The 19,804-nt window shown below is 37.1% G+C and overlaps 1 protein-coding gene across 4 annotated transcripts in view; it reads right to left on the bottom strand.

The window, feature by feature from the left end:
* Positions 2,783–19,804, bottom strand: part of SMAD4 (SMAD family member 4) — a 54,830-nt gene continuing 37,808 nt past the window's right edge. For 3 of the 4 annotated variants that reach the window (NM_005359.6, NM_001407042.1, NM_001407041.1), the window contains exons 11-12: positions 11,049–11,187; positions 2,783–9,569 (exon numbers count right to left, since the gene is read on the bottom strand). In NM_005359.6, coding sequence (NP_005350.1) covers positions 9,358–9,569; positions 11,049–11,187 — 351 coding nt within the window. In that variant the 3' untranslated portion in view covers positions 2,783–9,357. Of the gene's footprint in view, positions 9,570–10,405; positions 10,519–11,048; positions 11,188–19,804 lie in introns of all 4 variants that reach the window. The other variant, NR_176265.1, reaches the window with a different exon arrangement.

Raw genomic sequence — 19,804 nt, 5'->3', positions numbered from 1 at the left:
TACTAAAGGTGTTTCCAATTTTATTTTTTCCAAATAAGCTATTTCATTGGTTTTCTCTAATGTTTTTGCTTCAATTTTATTGATTTCTGTTCCTATCTTTATTTCCATCTTTTGGGCTGCTTTCAGTTAATTTTGTTTTTTTGTTGTTTTTTTTTTTGAGACAGTTTCACTCTATCACCCAGGATGGAGAGCAATGGTGCAATCTCAGCTCACCGCGACCTCCGCCTCCCAGGTTCAAGCGATTCTTGTGCCTCAGACTCCCAAGTAGCTGGGATTACGGGCATGTGCAACCACGCCTGGCTAATTTTTGTATTTTTACTAGAGATGGGGTTTCACCATGTTGGCCAGGCTGGTCTCAAACTCCTGATTTCAGGTGATCCGCCTGCTTCAGCCTCCCAAAGTGCTGGGATTACAGGTGTGAGCCACCGCACCCAGCCTCGCTCTTTTTCCAGGTGCTTGAAGTTGGGGCTTAGAGTATTGAGATTTTTCCTTTTTTTCCTAAGGTTTGCATTTAGTGCTATAAAGTTCTCTTTCAGCACTGCTTTTGCCATATTCCACAAACACTGGTGTTTTATTTTCATTTTCATTCAGTTCATGGTTTTAATTTTCCTTGAGACTTCTTTGACCCATAGATTACTTACATTGTTTTAAGTGTTTGGAGATTTTCCTGTTATCTTTCTTCTGATGATTCCTAGTTTGATTATATTGTGGTCAGAGAAAACTTTGACTTCTTTTACACTTTTTGAGTTTTATGGCCCATGATATGACCTATCTCGGTTTATGTTGTTAGCATTTGAAAGGTATATGAATGTTGCTGTTATTGGATGGCTTATCCTATAAATGTAAATTAGATCTTATTGGCCGATAGTAGTGAGTTCTTCTATATTCTTGATTTTATGTTTAATTCTATTGATTGCTGAAAGAGAAATATTGTAGTACTCAAATATAGTTATGGATTTATCAATTTTTTTTCTTCACATATTTTACTGCTCTGTTGTTTGGTGCATACCTATTTAGGATTCCTATGTCTTCCTCATGGACTGACCCTTTCATCATTATATGTTCCTCTTTGGTATTTTCTTTGCTCTGAAATCTATTTTGATATTAGTATAGACCATTACTGTTTTCTTTTAACGTTTAGCTGATATGTATCTTTCCATACTTTTTTCAGCTTGCCTTTGTTATGTGAAATGAGTTTCTTGTAGACAGTATACAGTTGGGTCATGTTTTCTTGATCCATTCTGCCAGCATTTCTTTTAATTAGTATAGACCATTTATATTAATGTAAATTACTGATATGTTAGCATCTAAATCTCCCATTTTCCATTTACCTTTGTTCTGTTCTTTCTGTTCTTTTTCCTGCCTTATCCTGAGTTACTTTTTGAGAATTCTCAACATTTTTGAGAATTTCATTTTGATTTATCTGTAATGATTTTGTGTATACATCTTTGTATACTTTTTTCAGTACTTGCACTAGGAATTTCATTATATATTCATAACATCACAGTCTACTACTGTCATTTTACCAGTTTGAGTGAAATGTAGAAAACCTATATTCCTATAGGTTCCTTTACTCTTACCTGTTTATAATTGTTTTAAATAGTACCTCTATATACATTTTGAACCACCTCAGGCAGTGTTATAATTTTTGTTTCAACTATCAAATGTAATTTATAAAACTCAAGTTGAGAAGGAAATCCTACTTACCCATATTTTTGCTTACCAAGTTTTTTTGGGGTTTTCGGTTTTTCCTTCCTGATGTTCCAACTTTGCTTCTATCATTCTTTCTTTTCTGCTTAGGGAACTTCCTTTACTACCACTCGATTAAGGTAGGTCTGCTGGCAATGGATTGTCTGCTCTCCCTGAACGCCTCTTGTCCATCTGTCTGAGACCTAGTGGTGGCCTAACAAAACTATCAAAATATAGATGTGGATGCCACTCCAAAAGTAGGCCAGAACTAATGGAATTATTCTTTTAGAATACAAAGGGCTGAGGAGAAAGGGCATTACAATTTATCAGTAAGACAACAGGGGTGGGAAAGGTTTGAAGAAGTGATGGAGATTCCCTAAGCTTTGAGACTGCCATTTGTGAGAGAGTTGTGACGTGGGAGGAGATGGAATTAAGCACAAAGAATTAAGGGTCAAGAGCAGAAGGCAGAGAGACACACAACTGCCCTTTCACCTGAAGTGCTCCACAATGTTTTTCCTTTTTCTCAACTGAATGCTAACCTACTATCCTCTTCAAGTTCTAGCCTAAAATACTATAAATTTCAGGTTAGCAAACAGGTGAGAAGAAATCTCTCAGCCCGATAAACTCTCTGAAACTCATGTCAGCAAGCTTAGAAATAAAATGCTGATGTGGTCTTGTTATATACAAGCCATTGCCACGGAATCTACTTACCTGACCACCACTCCCCTCCCATTGACCCCTATTTCACAGAGAAGGCAGATGGGAGAGAAACAGCTTTCCTTATCCCTTAGCTGGGCAATGAAAGGGTCTCCAATTTCCAATTTTACCTCTCCTTTAAGCATCCTGGTTCTTATAATTCCCTAGCACCCATCTCTCTGATCACCATCACTTCACCTTCTCCTTTTAAAAATGAGAGAAGAATGGGGACTGTTATTCCAGGGTCATATTTTAAATGTCACATTTCCCATTTCAGTGGCCACAAGGCAATAAAGGAAAATGTTGACCTAAAGTTTGAAAATTCTCTAAGTGATCAGAAACCCTTTCCAGATCCAAGACATCCACAAGCTTAAGAAAAAGAATGAGCACATAATGATTTAGTTGGCTTTCTCTTTTAATCAAAAACATACTTTGTTACAGAGTTCTCAAGAAAGGTTCGACTATTTTTTAGCCACAGACTTTAACCAGGCAAAAGTATACAGAAAGCCACAAAGGAACTCCTGGGACTTTCAACTGACCAGTTGTCCCCAAAGCAGAAGCTACGAGTGGCTCTTCTCTGGCTTCTGGCATAGCTGCATTCCTCTGAATTTAGGGGAGGAAACAGTTGGGAAATACCACCACCAAATCTGTCCCCAACCCCCAACTCACTTCTTCTAAACTGGGCTCTGCAGCCCACCAGGTTTTCATCATCTATAAGCATTCACACTTTTCCCTTAAATCACATGTCCAATGCATTGAACAGAACTCAATACTTGAAGAAAGTTTGCCAACTCCATGTTTAGTCTTAATCAATCCAAGCCCGTGAGTCCTTCTATCAATGACAAGCAGCCTTTGCAACAGCAGCTGGTTTCATCCCTTCCTCTCCAGCTACCACAAAGCTGGCCTCTACCAGGACTCCCCAACCCCCCACCCTCAACCCAGCCCCAAGGAAGGCTCCCAGGTCCTTGAAAATATGAATTTCATTAATTGTACTCATCCAAGGGTAGGCTAGAAGAGAGCTCTGAATGATCCAGCCAAAAGTCACTTAATCAAAATGGACCTAAAAAGAGCCAAGAATAAAGTTAATAATCATCTACTGGTATTGTTTTCTTGAGTCATATAAACCAGTTTAATTGACACGGTTCAAGGGAATTTCCTTGTTTTGAGCATAATATCACTAAGCATTAACAACAGGTTTTCAATCCATTTTCACTGAAAAAAAAAATTACAAGCACACACCACTTAGGAGGGTGGTGTCACACACACCAACTCAAAAGCTATAATGTCATGACTCGAAAGCCTTAATAAACTCTGACCAGAGTGTGTGCGTGCGTGTGTGTGTGCACGCAATTCAAAAGCTAGAATGTCATGACTCGAAAGCCTTAAACTCTGACCTGTGTGTGTGTGTGTGTGTGTGTGTGTGTGTGCGCGCGCGCGTGCGCACGCGCGTTAAGTGTTTATTGCAGCCCCTAAGGTGGTGCTAGGCCTTTGGTTAAAATTAAGTCTTAAGGGCATACTATGTAACCTTTTGTCCATAAAAGAACAGTAATAAAATATCAAGCCTAGTCTCCTTTGAATAACATGGAAATAAGTAAAAAGCCCCCTCAAACAGCAGAACAAAGATAAGGAAGAAATCCAAAACTGCTGCAAGGTAGCCAAGGTCACTTAGAATTTCAGAGCTGGAATAATTAATCTACTCCAACTCCCTCATTTTACAGATGAGGCAACTAAGGCCCAGAGAAGATAAATGACTTGCCCAAAGGTCACACATCAAATTTGTGGCAGAGGGCAAACTAGAGAGTGCAACTGTCTGGCCCAACCCAGAGCCATTACTTTCAGGTTGAACAAGAACACTGGCTCTGGACCTATTGAGAAAGCATTTAAATAAACGGTGTGAAAAGTATCCACATCAACAGAGAGAAATGATTGTCTTCACCAAAGGTTTTCCTTAGTCCTTACTACATTAGAAAAAAAAAAACAGAAAAAAAAAGGACAAAAAGTTTCATTCATTCATTCCAGTCTGATGTTAAAATCCCTGAAAACACTAGCAATTACTTTAGCTACTCCTTGGGGCAGGATGTCAGACCCTCAATTCTCATAAAGGCACCTATAGGTCAAAAATATCTGTACAGGAGTAAGGCCAGAAGGCAGGGCTTCAAAGGGGACACCAAAACAAAACAAATGGCCTTAGTTTCCCAAGGTTTGTTTTGCTTTGTTGTGTGTTGTTTGCTGGTGTCCTCCAGACAACGGTATTGCCTCTGGCTACTGATGCTAATTTAGTAACCCTTGTAACCCCAGTTTTTGTAAGAGCAGCATTCAAGTGGAAGCAATGAAACCTTTCAAAATATTATTCTAAGGGGGAAAATATGAATATGACTCACTTCTCTCTATCTCAACTACCTGAAACTCAGCAAGAATCAGGAAGCACTCTAAGCTACATCAAACTGATATCAAATGCCAATACAATGAGGTCTTTTTCAGCACTTCACAGGAAAGTGTCTTGGGTCCTGTCCCAGAGTTTGTACTTGTGTTTTAAAGAACGTTCTAGTAAGTTTGGTTATCTGGTTTCCTTGCCTAGGCAGTCAGAAATGAAGAATCAGAAAGAGAAGAAGAAAATGCTAAAAGGAGGCACACTAACACTCACATATGAATGGTAATTATCAGAGAGGGAAGAGACCAGGAGGGGAAGTGGGTTAAAAAAAAAAAACTAAAAATTCAAAACCATAGCTGTCTCAGACCATTTAGTAAAGGCAACACAGTCCTGTCTGTTTTAGAAGCCCCTGAAGTCCACAAAGATAGCCAAGCACAGAAAGAAATGTTACCATCTAGTATATCCTCTGATATACATATTAAATAACTCCACCAAAAAAAGGCTAAAAATTAAAACGTTTTACTTCTTAAATAAGGCAATTCTGGATGATGTGGAAAATTTCACTCCACAGTGATTCCAGATAAACAAGATAAGCAACCTAGCAGCACTGGGACAACTGCTAGGGATAAGGCTGGGCCTAGGATGCCACTTTGTGGATGAATAAGGCCATGGACTTTTTACATACTTCTTGGTATGTTCAAAGAAATTACTTAGTTATCAGGGAAAAAAATGGAAAGGCTTGAACAAGATTGTCATAGCCTATTCTCTGTAGTCTTTGCAAAAGAGGATATGAGATTATTTAGATAGCTATCTGCAACAAGATGGATTCTGCCTTTACGGGAAAAAAAAATGCATTACTTTAAGCTGAGTGTACCCCACCTACAAAATAATTGTTAACTGGCTTTAGAGGTAATTGCTTTCATATACTCATTTACCTCCGTAACCTAAATTTGCCATTTTCCCAATCTGCTATCATTAAATAAAATGCCAGTAAAGTTGGCAATAACGAAGGGAGCAAACTAGAAATTATCAACAAAAAGAACTCTGTTCCACTCAGAGAATAAAACTGCTTCTCCCAAAAGGCTCTCAGAAAGGGTGTGAACTAATGTGACTCTGCATAAAATGGTGAGTAACTATTAACCAGTTACCATCAAACCAGGCACAGAAACATTTACCATTTTATTCTTTAACCTCCATAGACACTTAAGGAGCATTAATAGTAAAATGTAAAATTTTCCTTCCCCAGATGACCATAGTCAAAGATACCTGCAACTCACCTTCCTACAATTAGCAATAAACTTTAAAAATAATAAGATGTATATCATCTGGGAGACAGGACATTTTATTTTGCCTTCAACTTGTATTACAAACACCCCCCTTTACACACCACACCCTGCCCCACAAAAATGGATTTTAAGTCTGAAATGCAGCACAGCTAATATGAGTTCAGTTTACTCACATGTCTCAAGTATGGCTCTCCTTAAGCCAGACCATGCAACCTGTAAATCTGCACTGTTCACAGGAGGAATGGTATAGGCAACCTATTTAGTGGTTACAGCAATACAAAACAGCCATGTTTCTGGAAAAAGCAAGGTTATATGGCAGTGATTTATTGTCATTATCTTTGTATACCAGGGGCGGTAAACTATTAAAAATGAGATAGACTATATCCCACGATCTACTCCCCGGAAAATAAAGGCAACACCATGAAGGATTCCCTTTGATAATGCACTGAAAGGCACTGGACAAACATGGAATGAGGTCTTACGGTGGGTGTACATGGCTCATCTCTCATTCAGCTTGCACTGAAATTCAACATTTTGAGACTCTTTGAGATATGAATTAGCTAGAGAAAACCCACCCAGAACCATAACCTCATAATTTTACCCTTAAAGTAGACATAAAATTTTAAACCTGTGAGAATCTTTAGTCTTATTCATCAAAGATGACTACCACTAAGAAATAGAAATATAGATTAACAACCAAGCTCTCAGGAATAGCTGATCATAACATACTAGATGTTTTCTCAAAAGCGTGTGACTAAATCTAGGTACAAATATAAGCACTTAACAACTAGAAGTATTTCTATACTTTATGGCTCTTAGTAGAAAGAAACCAAGACAGGTGGCTTGGCTCCAAAGAGATACTTCTTAACAAATATTTTTCACATACTTTCCCCAGATGATTAAACATGAAAACTTTCCTTAAAGTAGAAAAGGGAACAATGAGGCCAGGGACAGTGGCTCACGCCCGTAATCCCAGCACTTTGGGAGGCCAAGGTGGATGGATCACTTGAGGTCAGGAGTTCAAGACCAGCCTGGCCAACAGGCAAAACCCCGTCTCTACTAAAACTACAAAAGTTAGCCAGGCATGGTGGCGGGCACCTGTAATCCTAGCTACCAGGGAGGCTGAGGCAGGAGAATCAGTTGAACCCGGGAGGCAGAGGTTGCAGTGAGCTGAGATCATACCACTGCACTCCTGCCTGGGCAACACAGCAAGACTCCATATCTCAAAAAAAAGAAGCAATGAATTATGTCAATGTATGATTAAGGTTTTAATCAAATCATCTGGATTTTTAAAAATCTGTTATTCTAAAACTCACTCCTATTCCTCATTCACAGTAAAATGGACCTAAAGTTAGCAATTTCTAGAGAAGATGTCTTTTTATAAAACTGCCAATAAAACTTAAATCACCAAACTTTTACAGAAGAAAATTAGGTGTTTACTGAAAGAATTTGTAAGTAATCAAGAGTACAAATGAGGTGGTAGATAAGTTATTTAAAGACAAAAGTCATGTAGCTTGGATCAAGATCTATGTTTAAATCACAGAAATAAGCAAACTCAGTGGTTTCTAGGATGGTCTATTTAAAAGACCTTCTGAGCAAGGCAGTAGAAGCTGTGTTCATTCCAGGTGATATAAGGAGGACTATCATCACACAAGTGTTTCTATAGCTAAAAGTTCTCCAGGCAAAAGTAAACACATCTGAAAGATAATCCTTGATTTTATTTCATACTATTTATCCTGTAGACAATCTATTTATCATCTTGTAGATAATCAGGTCTATTTCTGCTATAGTAAAATAAAAATTAAAAAAAAAAAAAACCAACTCTACACATGATACACAATGTCCATGGGGAAGTCCCGGTAGAGTGTGAGGGAAAAAAACAAAGCTGCCCAATAGAACTGGCTGTTGCCTGTCATTTAGTAGAAGGTACCTCATCACTGAGATTGGACTCAAAAGTGCAAAAGAAAAAAAAAATCTTAAAAATCAAACCTAGAATTCAACTTTGTATGTTGAGATTCAGTTTTATTTATGCTACCAGCTAGGTAAAAAGCATACATATTGTGTCTGTGGTACAGTCAATACATCTGCAACTTTTCTACTTAAATTCTCTATACAAAGTCACTGCCAATTGATATGATCATTGATGGCAAAGGGCTTAGAATAACCAAAAGATATAAAAAAGTTTGCAGTCTTGCCCCAAGATACAAAAACTGAATTTTAAACAATATCATAACATACATGATTTAAACATTATACCAAAAAAAGTCACATCAAATCAAGTACAAAAATATCCAAACTACCTATTATGAACTGTAATGTTTCCATTATTCTGCACAGTATTTAACATAGAATTTAGCAGTTTCCAAAATATTCAGTTTATTCATTATTTAGTTTAAGCATTGCCACCTTTGCAGAACAGTGAGACATTAGGTAGAGTGACGCTGCTTTTAGTGTTTTAAAAAATACAAAACCTTTCCCTATGAATGAAGGAAAAGAAATTCCTCTTATAGGCTTCTTAGCAACCAACCTTGTGCCTAGAAATACAGAAGAATACAACTACTGTTTAACAGGGGAAAAGTATACTTCATCAACAGTCATCCACTAGGAATAACAAACGTAATTTTAAATTTTTTTGTCTGGTAATTTTAAGGGATTCTCAATATACACACAGATTAAGAGTTTTTTGCCTTGGCAAAAATAAAACTGAAGTTGCAAGACAATCTGAATTGAAACCATCTTCACTAATATAACTTGCAAAAAATATTTTGGATGAAAGATTACAATACATTATTAACTTACTTTTTAAACACAGAGTAAAGTTACTCTTGGTAAAATTAACTCACCCACATGGCACATTATTTTTGAAGTATGTTCAACAATAACAACTTGTACACAAAATAACATAGGTGAATTAACTTTGAGAACTTCTCTGCCTTTAAAATCAGCAATACTGGATTATTCTGTAGAATGATATACATATCGATGTTCTGCAGATAAAAGGCTCTAAGACGTTTTAAAGGGCTAAATTTTCTAGCACTGGAATGATTCCTTCATACATAACAGGTGAAGAATTAATAAGAATGTGTTTCTCCTAATCTTCAAGCTCTGAGCCATGCCTGACAAGTTCTGAAGAGGAAAAAAAAAATTGTTTTAATCCAGTTTCTGTCTGCTAGGAGCAAGGCAGCAAACACATTTTCAACCCTTTATGAAAAGATAAAGCAGAACAAAAGTGAAATATATCTTCAGATTATAAACAGGATTGTATTTTGTAGTCCACCATCCTGATAAGGTTAAGGGCCCCAACGGTAAAAGACCTCAGTCTAAAGGTTGTGGGTCTGCAATCGGCATGGTATGAAGTACTTCGTCTAGGAGCTGGAGGGCCCGGTGTAAGTGAATTTCAATCCAGCAAGGTGTTTCTTTGATGCTCTGTCTTGGGTAATCCGGTCCCCAGCCTTTCACAAAACTCATCCTGAGTATGCATAAGCGACGAAGGTCATCAACACCAATTCCAGCAGCAGCTGACAGACCTAACAGAAAAGATTTGGAAGACATCAGAGGGACAGGGTGATCTCTTCCCATCCTCCCTACATTCTAAATTAATCAAGTGACCAGCTTTCTGTATTTCATTCTCCTCAGCATATAACTTCTCTGCTAAAGTGCCAAGAAGTAACAGTAGATCTAAACTTTATCAACAAGCTGCACACTTTTGGTTAAGGAACTTTACATTTCACATGTGTCTTCTAGCTACAACCAATTATAAAGTAAATTACCACAATCCACCAACACCTCACCTATTTTTTTCTTTAGAAGTGGAGGTGAAGGGATAAGAAACAACTTGTTTTTAAGAGGTAGTGCGTGTCCACAGGTTGCTTCTAAAAACCTTACTGTCTAAACAGCCTAGTTCAGAATAAGACATAACTAATAATGAAGCAGTTAATATTCTTAGTTCCACTAAGACCTCTTAGATGACCGAGATGAAGTCTCTCTCTCAATTTCAAAGTGTAACAGAGTAATACACTATTACTCAGTGGTGGCAACTGATGAGAATATGAAACTTAATAATAGTTCTGGATTCTTCAGTAAAAGCATGTTTATAACACTGAAACCAGCAAATTAATGGTATCACCCCAAATTTTAAAAAATCAAATTCTCTCAATGAATATGCCTAATCTACCTCTAAATTGTAAACTCCTGAACATAAGTCACAATGGAGACTGCATCTAATTTTCCAGTCAGAACATACAGTCATATAGTCCATCTGCATTCATCAATATTACAATGAAACTAATGGGAGGAATTTGCATGTACTGTAGAGAAACCTGCAGGGCCACTGCAGTTTTCTTAGCCAGTGTGATTTGCTTACCACACTGAAGAGGTTAAGAACAGGGGTTGAATGAATCACTAGTTATGCCTTCAGACGTGGAAGATGGGTGCCACGTGTTTCCATCATAAAAGTCTATAGTCAGGAGTTTAACTCTGCAGTAAAAAATTCCCCATCAGTGTGAAACCTGGCACACAGTTCAATTTTACCCTAAAATTAAAAAAAAGTCTACAAGTTATCAAAATACCACCCTCACTTAGTTTTCTCTCCATGTTTAGCATACTTTAAAAAAAAAATTGGAAAAGTGTCCAATTCTGAAATTGAAATATGCTTTCCTTACTAGAATAAAGCCAAGCACTTCAGTGATTACAACCCACCCTGGCTGGTGAGGCAGAATTATAATAAGCATCAACAAAAAAGGAGGAGATAGAACAGTATAATATAATAATCATCCCCTTTCTCCTTCATCCCATACTCCATTTTTGATACAAAAAGAATGCAAACAGGGTCATAGGCAAAAAGCAACTATTACAGAAGAACAGATTTTACCAATTCAAAAATGTCATCATCCCAGTAAAAAAAAACTTTAATTTCTATTACTGCTCAAAGAAACTAATCAACTGAGTAAATCAAGATAAAAATATCAACTATTATACCTTTAAAAAAGAATGAAAAGCATACTTACTGATAGCTGGAGCTATTCCACCTACTGATCCTGGGCCAGGGATGTTTCCTGCCACGGCTGCTGCCTGGGCAGCTGCTGCAGCTTGTGCAGTAGCCGCCTGCTGCTGCATCTGTCGATGACACTGACGCAAATCAAAGACCTTTTAAGAAAAAACATTTCATACTATGAGTTCATAAAGAAAAATTCCATACATTAAAAACCAATGCCTGACTTATTTAAAACTCAGTTTCATTATACCTCTCACATGAAAAGAATTAATTAAAACATGTAAACTTTTATGTACATTGTGATTGGTCTAAAACTAGTTAGGAAAGGTGGCTTGGAGCTCACCAAGAAGATCATGTCAACATCATGATGGCTTTGGCTGCCACACGCCTCTGTATCTTTTATCTAGTTCGAAGTGGGTCAGCTATTACTGTCCTTGTGGAAATCTGTGTAAAATGTACAATTAAGAAGTCCCCCTCCCCCTTTCATAATCAAATTGCTGAATTTTCCTTAGGCTGGAGTTGATAGCTTTGGTCGCCTGGCCAACTTTTTGTCTTATCATTTTTGCTTATTTGGAGGAGTTTAACAAAATGGCACTGTCGCTATATAAGAGAGATCAACATTTTTCAGAGATGCGTACTTTAAGCAAATAGAAGCAAAATAATATCCAGGACTTGTTTTAAAATACTTAAGAAACAACAACAACAAAAAGACTAGATCAAACAAATATAAAATTGTAACTACTTAATCCGTGCGATGGGTATATGGGACTTCATTAGTTTCTCTCTACATTTCTTTGTTTGTAAATGTTCATAATTTTTAAGGAAAAAAAAGGCCCAGTTTTAAATCCCATCACCGATACCTGCTAATTATATGGGCTGAGTTTCTTTTATCTATAAAATGGGAATGCTAAGTGTACATACTTTCATGAGGTTGTTGCAAACTTGGCATAGTATACAGTTACTTATTTTGTTTTTAGCCTCCCCCGTAGTCATTTATCTTTCAGGATGAGTTAAGGCGTTAATAAATAATTTTACTTTTATCAACCAAGTGAAGAACTGGCATAGTAAGGAAGGGGTTGCCATATCTACCCTTATATTTATGAAAGTACTGGAATGTTCTTTTAATATGCAACAAATTACAGATAATAAATCACATCACCTTTTTTTCTGGGGAAAAAAAAATCTTCCTAAAATATTTGTTTATTTGCATTTTTAAAAAGCATTGGAAGATTACACAAAAAGAATTTGCAGGAAAGGAGAACAAGGACAGGTTCTGAAGCAAGGCTGCTCAATGTCCACTGTTTTTAAATCACTTTAATTTCTGAACCATGTGGCTATACTCCCTATCTAAAAGGACATGAATATTTTTTAAAGTCCCATTACGTACATAAGGGGCCCAATACAAGCAAGCATAAATAATCTTGAAAATAAGAGAAATCTGAGAATGCATAATTTTTTAGTTGATGATAAACAATAGTTTTAGAACTTAAACCATAATTTTCAGATGCTTGAAAAAATTCTGATCATCTTCAACCATGGTATTTACATGAACCACAAAAACATACAATAACATACACTCTCCAAATAACAAATTGCACTCCTACTTACTCCTATTTCTCTACTCAGTGTCCATTTCCTCAAAAAACTTTTCCCAATTAGCACCAATGAAGGACAACACTCAGACTACCCTATTCTTTAAACAGACATGAATTTGTCCAATATACATATATGTATTTCCTGGACTATTAGGTCCTAAAATACTTTAGTAAAGAAAGCAATGACAGGGGCATGGTGGCAGATGCCTGTAATCCCAGCACTTTGGGAGGCCCAGGTGGGAGGATCACTTGAGCCCAGGAGTTCAAGACCAGCCAAGACCCCAACTCCACAAAAAAATTTAAATTTAAAAGAAAGCATGACAAAGTCAGGTTCTAGAAATCAGAAAGCCCACAACACCCAGAAGTGAAACCACTACTTCCTCAAATTTCTCACAGTCCATTCGTTTCAGAACTTCTAGGCTATGACATTTGGAAGGCATTACCCAGTACAGAACAAAGCAGGGACTCAAACATTTGAAAAGGTAAATAGCTCTACAACCACTTTTTTAAAGAAGTAAATTAATAAACTTTACTTTTTTAGAGCAGTTTTAGGTTCACAGCACAATTAAGCAGAAAGTACAGAGTCCCTGTCCCCACACCCAACCTTCCGCCACTATCAACATCCCCACTACAGTGGCACAATTGTTACAATCAATGAATTTACACTGACACATCATTATCACCCAAAACCCAGTTTACGTAAGGGTTCACTCTTGGTGTTGTACATTCTATGGGTTTGTACACATTTATGATGCTGAACACCTTTTCATATGCTTGTTTGCCATATGTGTATCTTCTTTGGTGAGGTGTTTGTTCATGTCTTTTGCCTTTTTTGTTGTTGTTGTTAAGATGGGGTCTTGCTATGTTGCCCAAGCTAGTCTTGAACACCTGGGCTCAAGGGTCCTCCCACATCAGCCTCCCAACTAGCCAGGACTACAGGCACATGCCACCATGCCTGGCTAATTTTTTTTTTTTTTTTTTTGGTAGAGATGAGGTCTTGCTGTTGCCCAGGCTGATCTTGAACTACTCCTGCGCTCAAGCAATCCTCCTACCTTGACCTCCCGAAGTGCTGGGATTATAGGAGTCAATCACTATGCCCAGTCTATTCTGCCCATTGTTTATTTTATTGTTGCATTATTTTATTGTTGAGTTTTAAGAGTTCTTTGTAATTTTGGATAACAGTCCTTTACTAGATGTGTCTTTTGCAAATATTTTCACCCAGTCTGTGGCTTGTCTTCTCATTCTCTGACCCTGTCTTTCACAGAGCAGAAGTGTTTCATTTCAATGAAGTCAGGCCTATCAATTCTTTCCTTTATGGATCATGCCTTTGATGTTGTATCTTAAAAGTTCTCGCTTTTTCTCTTGGCCAGGCACAGTGGCTCTCTCCTGTAATCCCAGCACTTTGGGAGGCCGAGGCAGGAGGATCACTTGAGGTCAGGAGTTCCTGACCAGCCTGGCCAACATGGTGAGACCCCATCTCTACTAAAAATGCAAAAATTAGCCAGGCATGATGGTGCAAGCTTGTGATCCCAGATACTTGGGAGGCTGAGACAGGAGAATCCCTTAAACCCAGGAGGCGGAGGTTGCAGTGAGCCAAGATGGCACCACTGCACTCCAGCCTGGGCAACAGAGCAAGACTCCGTCTCAAAAAAAAAGTTCTCACTTTTTCTCTTATATTATCTTCTAGAAGTTTTATAGTTTTGTGTTTTACATTTAGGTCTCCACAACTACTTTTTTTTAATCATCACTAACCAAGTATGGTGTGTGTGTGTGTGTGTGTGTGTGTGTGTGTGTGTGTGTGTGTGTATATATATATATATATATATATATATAATGTTATCTGGGAGTAGGGAATAAAACTTAATTATAATCTCCAAGATTCAAGTATGCCTTTAACATTAACACTCCCCCACCCCCACGAGTCATTTAAAAAAATAACCAAGTAATATGTCACACATAGGCTCTCTCCAATGTGTTGTAAATAATCGCAATTAGGATTGTTTCAGCCTGAATCTATGCTAACATCAGCAGCACATATTACAGGTTACCCACACGGATTAAACTTTATGACTTGCATCTGTAGATGCAGTAAAAATGATTCATTGGGCACCTCAGCAAACCTCCCTTCCACAGATTATTTACGTAATTATAGCACTCAAACCAGAAGACCTAAAATTATTCAGTTAGGTTCACTAATAACTAAAACCTGCATTGCCTCCTGACTTCACACTGTAACTAATCCATTGATAACGGATACCATAACAGATTCCATTTGTTACACTGGATGATAAAAATTAAAGCTATTATTGAAATGCTACTGTCTTCCTTTCATAATTTGACTAAATTGTTGACAAAGGCAATTCAAAGTAATCAAAGGCTTTAAATATTCTTTTTGGCTCAGATCCAAAAAATATTTCTGACCACCACTCCTGAGCTAATTTCTGCTTTAATTTATTTAACCATGTTTTCTGAATTTATTACAAAACCGTTACTTAACAAAGATGTGTGTCTCATAAAGATCACTGACAACATCTTTAGGATATTGTCTTTTACAACCAGGAGTCAAATTTTGCCATTTTCCTTTGACAAGGCTTAAATGCAATACTATATAATCTTAAATTAACATTAGGAAACAGTAATCCAGAATGAAAAATGCACCTGAACATAAACAAGATTGTGCTAAGGACATTCTAAGTTCTACTTGACTTAGGGAATCACAATGAGTGTTAATTGGGAATAAATTTAAATGAGGTTCATAATACCCTCTGACCTAGTCCACCAGTGGTTTAGAAGCATCTGCTGCCCCTTCCTCTAAAATAAATGTGTTCAAAAACAAACCCAACTCAATATTAACACAGGAAGTTTGCAAATCAAAACTACCACAATAAGATTATACTTCACACCTACTACAATGGCTAAAATAAAAAAGACAGATAACAAGTACTGATGAGAATGTAGAGAAATTGGAACCCTCACACCCTGCTAGTGAGAATGTAAAGTGGTGCAGCCATTTTGTAAAACAGTCTATCAGTTTCTCAAAAAGTTTACATAGAGTTATCTTACAATCCAGCAATTCCACTTTTAGGTATGTACCCAAGAGAAATGAAAACACACAAATACTTATACACAAATGTTCATAGCAGTATCCTTCATAACATAGCCAAAAAGTGGAAATCAAGTCCATCAATGGATAAACTGATGAACAAAATGTGTGTGGAGCACTATTCAGCCATAAAAAGGAGTGAAGAATTGGTATGTGCTACATGGATGAAGCTTGAAACATTATGCTTAGTGAAAAGAAGTAAGTCATAAAAGACTATATTACATAATTCTCTTCTATATAAAATGCCCTGAATAGGCAAATCTACAAAGAGCGTAGAATAGTGGTTGTCTAGAGCTAATGGAAATGGAGATTTGGGGGTGATAGTTAAAAGGGTATATGGAGTTTTTTTCCACAGTCATGAAAATGCTCCAAAATTGAGTAGTAATGACTGCACAATGTTGTGAATATACTAACAATCATTGAATTGTCCAATTTAAATGGGTGACTTGTATGTCATGTGAATTCTCTCTCAAAATCTCAATAAAGCTATTAAAAACTTGAAACGCCCAGTGCTAAATAACACAAAACAAAACATATTTTACTTTTGAAAGCAAAAGAACAAGGCCACTTAAAGAGAATTCAAACATTTGCTTCATTTAAAGCTTGTAAAATGTCATTTCATTACATCAGATTTTCGTTAAGTAAAAAATGACTACTATGTCATGAGAGAAGCAGGAAAAAAAGTCAACTTAGAAGGGTGAAAAAAACCACAATTTAGTCCTAGCTTCTTGGCTTATAAAATGAAATTATGGCTCTCCAAGTGTGTTTTCCTCATTTTAATTAAAAAGGGGAATGTGTGTGTGTGTGTGTATGTGTGTGTGTGTGTATGTGCATGCACACATTTGTGTACTCAAAGTGTGGGCACTCCTTCCAGGGGTGCATGCTATCTACATACAATTTACCCCAATAATATCATCTCCTGTGAAAATCTGATAACTTACAAATCCCTTAGTTACTGCTACCCAAAAAAACGAATGAAGAAAATGCCAATGGTTAAATTTTAAGGTATACAGTATTCCTCCCTTATCTATGGGGGATATGTTCCAAGACTTCCAGTGGATGCATGAAACTTTAGATAGTACTGTGCATATACTATGTTTTTTCCTATACATACATACCTCATAATGAAGTTTAACTTACAAATTAGGCATAGTAAGAGATTAACAACAACAGGTAATAATAAAACAGAACAATGTTAACAATATCCCAGCATCATTACCCTTGCACTTTGGGGCCATTATGAACTAAATAAAGGTTACTGGATGACAAGCACTGTGAGACCATGACAGTCAATCTGAAAACTGAGCTCGCTACTCAGTGACTAATGGGTGGGTAATGTAGACAGCATGGATATGCTGGCAAAAGGTTTTACATCCCAAGCAGAATGGAGTGAGATTTCATCATCTACTCAGAACAGCGCACATTTTAAAACCTATGAATTGTTTCTGGAATTTTTCATTTAATATTTTTGGACTGTGGTTGACCATGGATACCTGAAGCCATGGAAAGTGAAATTGTGGATGGGGTTGTACTTGTAACTGTCTCTTTCTGACTAGTAAGACTCTTCTAAAGAACAGTAATATACTTGGTAAACAGACATAATTATTTTAAAATCTTAGTTAATATACACAAATGAGATTTTTTTAAATTCCAAATATCTTGTCCAACAAGGTATTTATCTACTTTTCATGGTAAAAGTATGAGATCACTATTAAGATCTGTCCAAGACAGTGGTTTATCAAGTGATGACTTGTCTCACACCTTGGGGGCTTTTCAAAGGCCATCTGTACCAAAATATAAATAAGTCACAATGTATCTATTTGACATCCAAGAAATTACACTTGCACGATTCCACATTATTTAAGCTCAATTGTTTTAAATACTACTCCATATCTGATTAAGTTTATAAATACTATCTGGCACACAGTATATATTCAACACCATAGTTCTCTATCCAGTCACTTTAAATTACATAAATAAAACAAGAGACTTCTGAGTCAAGATGGGTTAAGTGGGTATACATAATCACCTTCTCTCTCTGCTTCAACCACATACAAATAACAGAAAAACTATTTAAAATAGTCATCCTCTCCAAACTGATCATGAAATTCATATGGAAACAATCCATACATCCAAACTGATGATAAATAAAACCCACAGTGGAGAGCAGAGACTAAAGATAGGAGGTACTAGGGGTATACCAAGACCATAAACAAAGGGCAGGGAACAGGAATTTGACTTCTTGGAATAATATGGAGAGAGACAACAGCCAAACTCTCTGGGGGCTACAAGTGGGCACCTGCCCATAAATCAAGTGCTGGTAAAATACAGCCAATTCAGAAGTACACCTAGGAATAAAATATTTGCCCACGGCAGGGAAAAGTTTCAGAGAAATCTAGGCAATCAGGAATTAGGCCCCAAGCATACCTGCAGAATGGAACTCAATTTCCTCAGGAGACAAAGTCCCCCTACTTCCTAAATTTATAAGATTTGGTTCTGAGATGTGAATCCCAGATGCCAGGGTAAGGCAAAATTGCCACATAGGGTGAAGCAATGACAGGAAGAAAAAATAAATAATAAAATGAGTGAATTCTCTCAAAACAAACTTGGCCCACGAATACAAAATGGACTACAAAACATATAAGGAAATCCAAAGCCATTAAAAAATAACAACAAAAGGCCAGGCGTAGTGGCTCACACCTGCAATCCTTGCACTTTGGGAGCTGAGTTGGGCTGATCACTTGAGGTCAGGAGTTCCAGACCAGCCTGGCCAACACGGTGAAACCCCGTCTCTACTAAATACAAAAATTAGCCAGGCGTGGTGGCACACACCTGTAATCCCAGCTACCGGAGAGGCTAAGGCATGAGAATCACTTAAACCCTGGAAGCAGAGGTTGCAGTGAGCCAAGATGGCACCACTGTACTCTAGCCTGGGTGACAGAGCAAGACTCTGTCTCAAAAATAATAATAATACAGCATAAATAACCAATACAGAAATTACTTGTGGAAAAAAACTGCAAAATACAAATAATTTCCACCTCATAGAGACAATTCCATTATACATACCAGTCTAGACTTATGGGTACATATAAACAAATAACAAATATCATGATATCATTTAACAAAAATGAGATCATAGTCTATGTATTGTCTATTTATTTATTTATTTTTGAGAAAGGGTCTCACTCTATCACCTAGTCTGGAGCACAGTGGCATGATCATGGCTCTCCGCAGCCTTGAACTCCTGGGCTCAAGCAATGCTCCCATCTCAGCCTCCCAAGTAGCTAAAACTACAGGCATGCACCACCACACCCAGCTAATTTTTTAATTTTTTTGTAGAGATGGGGGTATCACTTTGTGGCTTACGTTGGTCTTGAACTCCTGGTCTCAAGCAATCCTCCAACCTTGGCCTCCGAAAGTGCTAAGATTACACGCATGAGCCACTAAATCAGGCCTTATGTATTGTTTAATAACTAACTTTTCTATACACATGGATATCCTATCAATAAATATAATACTTTATTGCTTTATTCTATTGTTCTAACAGACTATAACTGATGCTCTATTGTTGAAAATTTTAACAGGGAATTGATGCTAATTTATTAAGTGTAATAAATAGCACCGCGATTATGTTTTTCAGAAGTCTGTATAGATTTGTGAGTTACACAGGAGTATTTTATGAGTTACTCACACAGAAATATTTTATGAGTGACTATGCTGTTTGGAATTGGCTTTCAACGACTCCAGGAAAAAAAAGTTGGGGGAGAAACACATTAAAGATTGGTAAAGTGCTGATAATTGTTGCAGCTGGATGATAGGTACATGTGGTTTATTATTTTCGCTATACTTGGCATGTTTAAAAGTGTCATATAAAAAAATTCCAACATTCTTTAACTGAACTATAACTGGAAATGAGAAACTGGGTTTGCTGTTGTGAGGTAATCAGGCAATTCCATTTTTATGGATGCTATGGGGCTACATTATTTTTATCCTAAGCAACTTCCTGGTAATAAGTTATGAGACACAGTTAATTCTACCAATTTACAATCACTGACAATGAAAATGTTGAGG

This window comes from Homo sapiens, chromosome 18 (genome assembly GCF_000001405.40).
Source record: "Homo sapiens chromosome 18, GRCh38.p14 Primary Assembly".
Classification (NCBI taxonomy): domain Eukaryota; kingdom Metazoa; phylum Chordata; class Mammalia; order Primates; family Hominidae; genus Homo; species Homo sapiens.
This window is presented reverse-complemented; position numbering and strand designations above follow the sequence as displayed.